General features: G+C 40.2%; 1 long non-coding RNA gene across 1 annotated transcript; it reads left to right on the plus strand.

Moving 5' to 3' along the window:
- The first annotated feature begins 1,072 nt into the window (after positions 1-1,072).
- LINC02047 (long intergenic non-protein coding RNA 2047) lies at positions 1,073-6,877 on the plus strand. Its single transcript, NR_183674.1, has 2 exons — positions 1,073-1,161; positions 5,596-6,877. It is a non-coding gene; the product is annotated as a long intergenic non-protein coding RNA 2047 (long non-coding RNA).
- The last annotated feature ends 3,087 nt before the right edge of the window (positions 6,878-9,964 follow it).

Genomic DNA, 9,964 nt, shown 5'->3' on the forward strand with positions numbered 1-9,964 from the left:
TGTCTCTTTCTCTCTCACTGTCTAATAGATGATCATAACTATAGTTTCATCAGCCAGGATGTGCTAGTTTATGCTGGTAACAAACAACTCTCACATCTCAAATGGCTTATAAAGGTTTTTTTTTTTGCTCACATATTCGTCATTTGGTGGTTGGGACCTCACTTGGCTCTGTCAGCCTCACTACAGGATCCATGCTGCTATAGCTGCCACTAAAATGGAACATTACCTGTCCAGAAGGAAAAAGAAAATTGAAGTCTGAATGGTTCACTGTAGCAACTCAAGGCTTTACATGAAAGTTTGGCTAGTCTCTTCTGTTCCCAGCTCATTGGCCTAGAATAATCACATGACCTCTCCCAACCACAGGGACCAAAGAATTCAACTGGACTTTGTTGAGGAGGCAGAGATCTAGAAATATTTCAGGAACAGCCCTAATATCTGCCATATAGCTAATATTCATTACGTGTTGACTATGTTTCAGGAGCTGTTCTAAACCCTTGTATGTATTATCTCACTTAATACTCAGAAAAAAGTATTTTGAGGTTGATGCCATTATTATCATCAAACTCAATATTTTACAAATAGAAAATTGAGGCATAGGAGTAAAATAACTTTCCCAGGCTTAGTAAAATAGCTAATTGTTGGAATTTGAATCCAGACATGAACACCAAAGCCCATGTTTTTGACTTCCAGACAATATTGTCACCCAGCAATCCCATATTTTCTTATCCTTACTCAAACACAAATCTATCACAAAGTCCAAACAGGAAACAGGTACAAGAAAGCTGCACTAGCATATATTAGTAAATGAAAACAGGTTAGCAGTCAGACCTTTAGTATTGTCTAGTGTGTTTCTAGTGCACCGATGATTTTCCCATGGTCCTTGGCAGAGCCCTGGTTTCTCAGGCTTGCCTTTGGGCATGCTGAAAGACCTGGCAGCTTCAAACAGAGCAGCTCTGCTTCATCCTTTAGGCTTCCACTTGACTTCACTTATTTCTTGGCTGACAAAAAGAAAAGCTGGGAAAACTGCACTGCCTCACTCACACATCTCCATCCACACTAAGCTCAGAGACACATTCTAAGCAAAGCTTAAACCAAATGGATGAATCAGGCTCCTCTTCTGTTTCTGTGGTTAAGAATACCTACTTCTATGTCATGGTAATGGTAAGTGTTTTGATAAACACTGCGATTATGTGAAACATTGAGTAAAATAAATTCTAGCTTGGAAGAAAATAAGAATACCTAATTCATACAAGGGTATCATTACTTATAGGAGTTAGTACCAGTAAAGTATGCTACTAACAAAGACCTAATTCAAGAGTCAGCGCTTCGAGGTTGGCAAATGGTGAATTGAATCCTTCTACCCTTCCATAATCTGTTATTCAAATTTGGTCTTTATTGAATTCATGCTACCTGGTCTTCCACAAGACCCAGCACAGTGCGTGCCACATGGAAGATGTTTAGTAATACTTCTTGAATGTTTGAGTGAATGAGTGAATGTTGGGGAATGATTGGAAGCATTCCAATGTCACCAGGAATGGGAATTAAGTGGATAGGTAGAGACACAAAGCAAGCATAATACTAAAGATACAAGGCAATCAGTGATAGTTTGTTCTTCCTGACAATATGGATCTTGTTAATTATTGCAAGTCATAGCAGACATTTTTACAGGTTAATATCAAAGAAGAAATTTGGACTGCATTACTGGCATAAATTGGTCGAGTGAGAGCCCATTGGGAGAAAAGGGGAACTTCCCAAAACCCATGCAAAAGAGAAGCATCTTTTTCAAGCTGATACTCCCAAGCCTCCCCTTAGCAGTAGGAACTAGTCTAATGTGATAATAACCTCTCTCTGGGGTGGCATCTTAAAAAGAAACAAGCTTTCCAGTTCTATGACCTTTCAGAAGAAGAATCCCAGCAGGAATCCCGAGTCTTGGCGAACACCCTCCAGCACCACGAAATCTTTGAAGAGACCCAACTTTGAAGAGTGCCTTCCTACCATTATTGTGTGCATGCATACATAATTAGGAAGAAAACCATGCCACTCTGATTTCTAAAACCCATCTGAACTTTCCCCTAGTTCTCTCCTTTGATAGAAACTGCCCAAACCCCTTTGGAAATTTTTCGGAGGCAGTGAGGAGCCACTGGAGGAAGCATATTTTCATCAGGCTGTTATTATAGGAATGCTGCCAATGGGGAAAATAATGGGCAAAGAATGAAAATTCTGATTGCCCAATCAAGAAACTTGAACCCTCTGAGACTTAAGGCCAAGAGATGGAAGGGAAATTAAATGACAAAATAAATCAAAGACATTTTTACCTCTCAATATATTTGAAGGGGGAGAATGTAGCCTGCTTGTGCTATCCCAAGGTTTTCCTCAAGTAATATATTTAGAGTTGATTTTTAGCTCATTATTGCAATTTTCCTTCAAGTGGTTTAACACAGCCACAATTCAACTCAACCTCTTTTTTTTTTTTTTTTGGCCAGTAGTAAATCAAGCATTCTGTATGGGTTCTGTCTATGGTTTTCAGATATCTTGGGGGCTTCTCCCTTGACTAAGATAAAAAGGATGACTTCAAAAGATTTTAGGATCCAAGAAATGTCACCTTTCATATAGAGAAGGAGGAGAAGTTCAAAGAGGGGTTAGTACAGTGCTTCTAACAGTCACTAATGCAGAGCACATGGGAAAACAATAATAATTTTGTGAATACTACTAATATTTGTTAAATATTACTCTGTTCCAGGCACTGTGTTTCGAGTTTTATATTAATAATATCATTTAATTTGGATAAGAAACATGGTGGTCTGCTTGAAAAGGATTCCATTAAATTAAAATGGCTTTCCAAAGAGGATGCAATTTGGAAATTATTTTATGGCTCACAGATGTTAGCTATTATTGTGATGTGCATATTGTGGAGTTATATTTTAATGTATCAGCCCATGTGTTTTTCATTCCTAGGAGCTCCTTTCTGTCCTCTGACTGTTCCTTCTACAGGCAAGACTGGGGATTATCCATTGCCTCAGAGAATAGTTAGTACAACAGAAAAGCAGAAAAATAAGTTTCTGAGCTTCAAAAGCCCTGCGGAGCTGATAACAGAAATAGTAGACGTGAGAGATAATAATGGTGAGAGGAACCTACTCCACCTCCAGGCTGGAAGCTTCTCTCTTTGTGACCCTGAGATGTGGCCCTGGACTTAATCCCTGCGTAGATTGCAATAGAAACCTCAAATGGGTTTGGAGGGATCTAAGAACTTAGAAGACCTGTGCTTCTTTCCCTAATTGACCCTGGGGGAATGGCAGGTCACACACAGCATCCTCACATTCAGCATCTTTTGGGAGTTTCAAAGAATATAGAGTTTGCTGCAGGGATTATCCAGGCAGATGGGCCTGAGGCATCGTCGTAAGAGAAACATCAAACATTTTTCTTATCTCTGAGTAGTCATGGAAATAGCTGAAAGGACCAGGGTTAGGATAGAAAAGGAAGAGCAGCCATGAACTGACAACTCCCAGTAAAGCAGACACTCTGCACATGCCAGTGCAGGTGGGTGGCACCAACACTTTGCTCAATTACCTGAACGTTCTACTCCATCCCTCCCTGACATAGAGACACAACTCACAGGCTGGGGCTTAGGCAACAAACTGATTGAAATGACCCTCAGTTGATTGAAATTAATTCTCTGCTTCCTAGAAGAGTGGAATTTCGAAACAGCAATTGAACTGAGTTGTACAATAAGGAAAGGTGGATTTCTGCACACCTAAATTCTGCACACCTGTACCTATTCCTGGTTTCCCACATTGTCTCAGTGCTCAGACGCCACATGGGAAAGGAATTTAACCCCTGTGAGCCTTTGGGCAAGTCATGTTACCTTTCTAAGTTCCAGTGCTTATACCTGTTGAATGAGAGAATTGGGCTGAAAACAATGGTGTGGAATCACTTCAGGGGCCAACCAGAAGAATAAGGGAAGCCAGTTTGTGTGACCTCCCTCAAGATTCCCCTGCCCCAACTTTCAAATGGAGCAGCTCTGTTTGAGTCTGATTAGGTTATATTTACTTTTTTCTTTATCTATTGCAACTGAAGTATTGAGAGCAGCATTTATCATTCTCCTCATTTCATGGCATATTTTCACCACGGGATCATTCCTGACATTTTCTTATTTCGCTTTTTCTTTTTTTCTTTTTTTTTTTTTGAGATAGAGCCTTGCACTGTCACCTGGGCTGGAGTGCAGTGGCGCAACCTTGGCTTACTGCAACCTCCACCTCCCTGGTTCACGCAATTCTCCTGCCTCAGTCTCCCAAGTAGCTGGGACTACAGGCACCCGCCACCACACCCAGCTAATTTTTTTTTTTGTTTTTTTGTTTTTTTGTATTTTTAGCAGACAAGTCATGAACTCCTGACCTCGTGATCCGCCCTCCTCGGCCTCCCAAAGTACTGGCATTACAGTGAGCCACCATGCCCGGCCCACTTTTTCTTTTTATCACTAGTCTCCACTCCTATTCTTGATAGTAATACTAACAATCTCACGTACCTCCAGATGTCCCCACTTTTAGTACATTTACATTGAGTATTTATGAAAGGTTAAAAAAAAAGATTAACTCTGGTTCTATATAAAGAAGTTTACAAACTGCTTGGTTAGTTAATAACTTCTAAGGTCCTCTTTACTTTCTATATGCTAGGAAGGTGTTACAGGGTGAATTATGCCCCCTTTCCCACAAAAAAGACACGTTGACTGGGTGTGGTGGCTCACGCCTGTAATCCCAGCACTTTGGGAGGCTGAGGCGGGCAGATCACGAGGTCAGGAGATCGAGACCATCCTGGCTAACAGGGTGAAACCCCGTCTCTACTAAAAATACAAAAAATTAGCCAGGGATGGTGGTGGGCGCCTGTAGTCCCAGCTACTCAGGAGGCTGAGGCAGGAGAATCGCTTGAACCCGGGAGGTGGAGCTTGCAGTGAGCCAAGATCACGCCATTGCACTCCCGCCTGGGCGACAGAGAGACTCTGTCTCAAAAAAAAAAAAAAAAAGACACGTTGGAAGTCCTAAACACCAGTACTTCTAAACACAAATTTCTTTGAAATTAGGGCCATTGCAGACATAATTACGTAAGATGAGGTCATATTGGAGTATGACCGGCCCTTAATCCAATACACCTGGTGTCCTTATAAAAAGATGGCCACGTGAAGACAGACACATGGGGAGAATGCAGTGTGATGACACAGGCAGAGATTAGAGTTGTGCAGCTGTAAGCCAAGGAACACCAAAAACATTCAGCCAACTCCGAGAAGCTAAGAAAAGGCAAAAGGATTCCCCTATAGGTTTCAAAGGGAGTATGGCCCTGCTGACACCTTAATTGCAGACTTCTCCCCTCCAGAACTGTGAAACAATGCATGTCTGTTGTTTAAGCCACCTAATTTGTGGTCCTTTGTTATGGCAGCCCTAGCAAATCAATACAGAAGGAAAACAGAAAATAGTAACTTGCAGATATAATAGCTTTGTTCTCTGTTCCTGAGTGGATAGGAAGTGTTCCAACATGCCCCTCACTCCTTTTTTGCTTTTGCTATATTTACTTCATCACTTTTCTTTCTTCCTGATTTTTTTCCAGCCCACACTACAAGATGGATTGCCAGAAGACAGAAGAAGCCATTTCAGTGTTTTGTTTCTTTTTAAACTTTTCTCCTCGGCACAAGACAATCTCACTAGAGAACTGCGTCTATAAATGTGCACATTCCCCGACACAACCAGAGTTGCCTCATCCTCAAGGTCTATTTTTCAGTTTGGCCTTGGAGCAGGGTTCCAGAATTTGTTCAACTCCTGCTAATTTAGCAACTGTTTCTTGATGATTTCTGCTTTGGTGACAGGCACACTTGATGACTGTCCCATAGAGATACACAAGCATAAATTCTGTACTGGAAGGCTCCAGTCTGGAAAGTGTGAGTACTGCACAGAAAACATAGCAATGGAACAAAAGCACCATGGCTCTGGGCTGTTGCCATGGCCTGTTCTCATGTGTGGATAATTTATATGACAGGGCAGATGGAGACCCTGTTTTCAGAATGTGTGTAACTCCACTCTTGGTTTGCTAAGAGAATGCTTATCTAGTCCCAGCATGCAAGTGGGTTAAGATATTTTACTTAGATTTATTTATGCATTTACACATCCATACATGCAGTCAAAAATATTTATTGAACACCTGCAATGTGTGAGGCTCTATGTGCCAAAGATAGAGCAGTAAATAAAACAGAAAAATCCCCATCCTCATGAATTACACATTGATGGAAGACGTGGGGACAATACGCAAAATAAATGAAAATATATAGATATTTAAATAATGGCTATGAGAAAATATAATGCAGAAAAGGGGAATGGCAAGTACCCCTAAGGAAGTGTGTAATTTGTGATTTTAAGCAAGGTGGTCAGGGAAGACCTTACTGATTAGGTAATATTTTGACTTGCTATCCCTATGGTGCTATGGAAGTAGTAATGAACTTGGAATTGGAAAATCTGGATTCAACTCTTGTTATGGACTGAATTATGACCTCCAACCCCCTAGAATTCATATTTTGTAGCCTTAACCCCCAGTACCTTGATATGTGACTGTATTTGGAGGCAGGGGCTTTAAAGAGATAATTAAGGTAAATTATCTTGTTAGGGCCCTCAGGGTCGGTCCCTAATCCAATATGATTGGTAACATATGGGAAGAATGACAAAAATAATAAGAGGCTTCAGGAATGCGGGTGCACAGAGAAAAGGCCATGTGAGGACACAGCAAGAAGGTGGCCATCTGCAAGGCAAGAAGCGGCCTCAGGAGAAACCAGGACTGCTGACATCTGCATCTTGAACTTCCAGCCTCCACAACTGGGCGAAAATAAATGTTGTTTAAGCAACCTAGTCTGTAGTATTTTTCATGGCAGCCCAAGCCGACTAAGACAACTCTGATGTCTCGGCAGGCTTGTGATCTTGCAAGGAACTGACCTCAGTATCCTCATGTACCAGAGGGAAGCAAGACAGTCAAGGTCAAGAGTGAAGTATCTCTCAGGTTCTGTTCCTTACATGACCTCCTAACAGGAGGGAAGAGTTCCTGTTCTTTCAGACTTCAACAGACTTAAATCTCTCAGAAACCTTCACTTCTATAATCCATGGCCTTAAATCTAAACATGTCTCAAATCTAAATATATCCAAAACTGAGTTCTTCCTCTTCATCCCACCAATCCTGTTTCACCCACAGCCTTTCCCATCTCCACCGATTTTACCTCCAACCTTCCAGTTTCTTACACCAAAAACCTCACAGACATCTTTGGCTTCAGTCCTTCTGTCAAAACCCAAATCCAATATGTCAGGAAATCCTGTTGGCCCTACCTTATGGGCGTATTCAGACCCCAGTGACATCTCATCATCTCTGCTAGTATCATGCTAGTCATATCCCCAACATCTCTGAGCTGGGTTTCTTCAGGAGCCTCCCAGTGAATTGCCCTGCTAGCATCCACCCCTCTGTCTGGTCTACTTTAACAATAGCAGAGTGATCTTTTCAGCCTGCCTACATGTCCCCACGCCAAGAGTCTCCAGTCAGGGCTCACCCGAAGCCTTCTTTTTTTTTCCACTATAAAGTCTTCTCTCTCCTCTACCCTCCTTTGAGTCTCTATCAAACACAAGTGAAGGTAGTGGCTAAGTCTCTCACTATAGCAAACTGACTAAATGGCCTTTGCTTGCTCTCATTTGGGTGGCCTTCACTTATTTCCACAGACGTCATGTTTAAAATATTTGATAATGACCCAGTCTGGGTTTATGGACCACCGTGAATATTTTTTAACTTCATCTTTGCTCCATGAAGTGCTGATTTGGAAGATTGGATTTTTCTGGATCGAAATAGAACATTAAGTCTAGATAACTAAGCAATTATTGGACTAGATGGAATCTTTTGAGTGTCTCTTGGGTAGTTTTCTACCATACCATCACACTTAAACCATCTCTGACATACTGTAAAAATCTGAGCTGTGCTTAAGCACATTAACCTTTTCAGCATTTCACTCTGCTGATATCCTCTTTTTTTCTATAACAATTTCTATTTTGTTTGTCCTCAAACTTATTTATGTTGTTCTCTCCTCAGCAGAAATCAAATCAGTGTATTCTATGTTATAAGCCCTGCAGATGCTTCCACTTTATAAGCCCTTCAGATACATTATAACTCTGTTAAATTGGTCATGATTTTCTTAATTTCAGAAAACATGTTTCTTTTTTTATTTAAGTATTATTTCCTAATACAAAGTTCCCATGAAATGTGTTTTGTTATTTTTGCTGCATGTGATTTTATCTACTCACTTATACAGAGCATCCCACAGTTAAACAAGTATAAGTGTAATTGCAGGACATCTCAGAGTCTAATATGCTAATATACATAGTGAATTCTTGAGAATGGAGATGTTTACGTGATACCAAAGGATTCCTTTGCTTGTGGAGCATCTTTATATTAATATTTCGCATGGTTTAGCCCTTACATGTTGTCATGGCTCTTGTAAACTTTCCCAAGTTCTTCTCATTACACAAGCCTTATCACAGAACGGTATTTGGTTTGTTTGTTAGCATTGAATAGCTGAAGGCAAAAATCTGACCATTCTCTTGTAAAGTAGCAACACATTACAAGTAATCATGTATTAATCTGAGCATTTTTGGTCTTATATACAAATCAATAAATTTTATCTTTCAAGCCTTTAAAAACATACCACATCTTGGTTGGGTGTTAAGAGGAAAGGTCTCAGTGCTCAAAATAACTGCTGACATAACTTCTATATTTCATTTTCCTACTAAATAAGACCTGCTATGTCTAACACATTTTAATTAATGCCGAGCCCCAGATGTTACTATGCACAGAGAAGCTTAATATTATGAAACTCTAATAAAACCTTGATCCAATCAATTTCAGGTACTTCAATTGTATGGGTGGTTTTTGCTTATTTGAAATGCACATTGTTAATTTCTTAAGTTTCCTTTCTGCCTATTCTCTAGGTTCTCTTTTTTTTTAATTTTTCTTCCTGGGTAATGGAATTTGAGGCAATATGCTCATGCTAAACAAATAGATATATTTTTGTGTACTTTTTCAATTTAGGAAAACCAGAATGAAGTGGGTCTTCTACTGTTTGGTAAAAATCCAATCTAGTTTATGTAAAATAATAATCTCTTATCTTTGTATGGTATTGTATAATTTTCAAAGCACACTCACATGTATTAATCTGTTTGGGTGTAATAATTGAGGTTAGAACCTCAGCCTCAGGGTTCAGGCAGACTTGGAGATTAAATCTAGGAACATCATTTACTATAGTCTGGCTCTGGGGAAGTTACTTAAGTTTTCTCCACTTCAGCTTCTTTACTTGTAAAATCGAGCTAATAATTTAGTACCTAAAATGGTTGTTGTGAAGATTAAATAACATAATACAGAAAGTTTTTAGCTCAGTATTTAGTTCATACTAAGTATTCAGATATTTTAGGTAGTAGTGGGGATGGGGGTAGGGGCTTAACCACCTTGAAGTAAAATGCAAAAATTACCTCCATTTCAAAAGTAGGAGCATTAATGACCAGATGGTCTCAGTGAGTTACTCAAGCCTACTGAGTAGACCCAGTCTACTGAGGGTCCAAATAAAACAAAAAATCAGAGAAGGGGCAAATCTCTCTTTTTGTTGAGCTGGAACATCCATCTTCTTCTGCCCTTGAACATTAGAGCTCCTGGTTTTTGAACCTTCAGACTCAGGGGCTTACATCAACACCCCACCTCTCCCACTTTCCTCACCTCCAGTTCTCAGGCCTTTGACCTGGGAGTCGGAGTTAAACCATTGGCTCCCTGGGTTCTCAGGGTTTTGGAATTGGACAGAATTATACCACTGGCCTTCCTGATTCTCCAGCTTACAGACAGCATAGTGAGGACTTCTTGGTTTCCATAATCACGTGAGACAATTCCCATGAAAACTGTCTTCTGAAAAATA

The sequence above is a fragment of the Homo sapiens genome, chromosome 3 (assembly GCF_000001405.40).
Source record: "Homo sapiens chromosome 3, GRCh38.p14 Primary Assembly".
Lineage (NCBI taxonomy): Eukaryota > Metazoa > Chordata > Mammalia > Primates > Hominidae > Homo > Homo sapiens.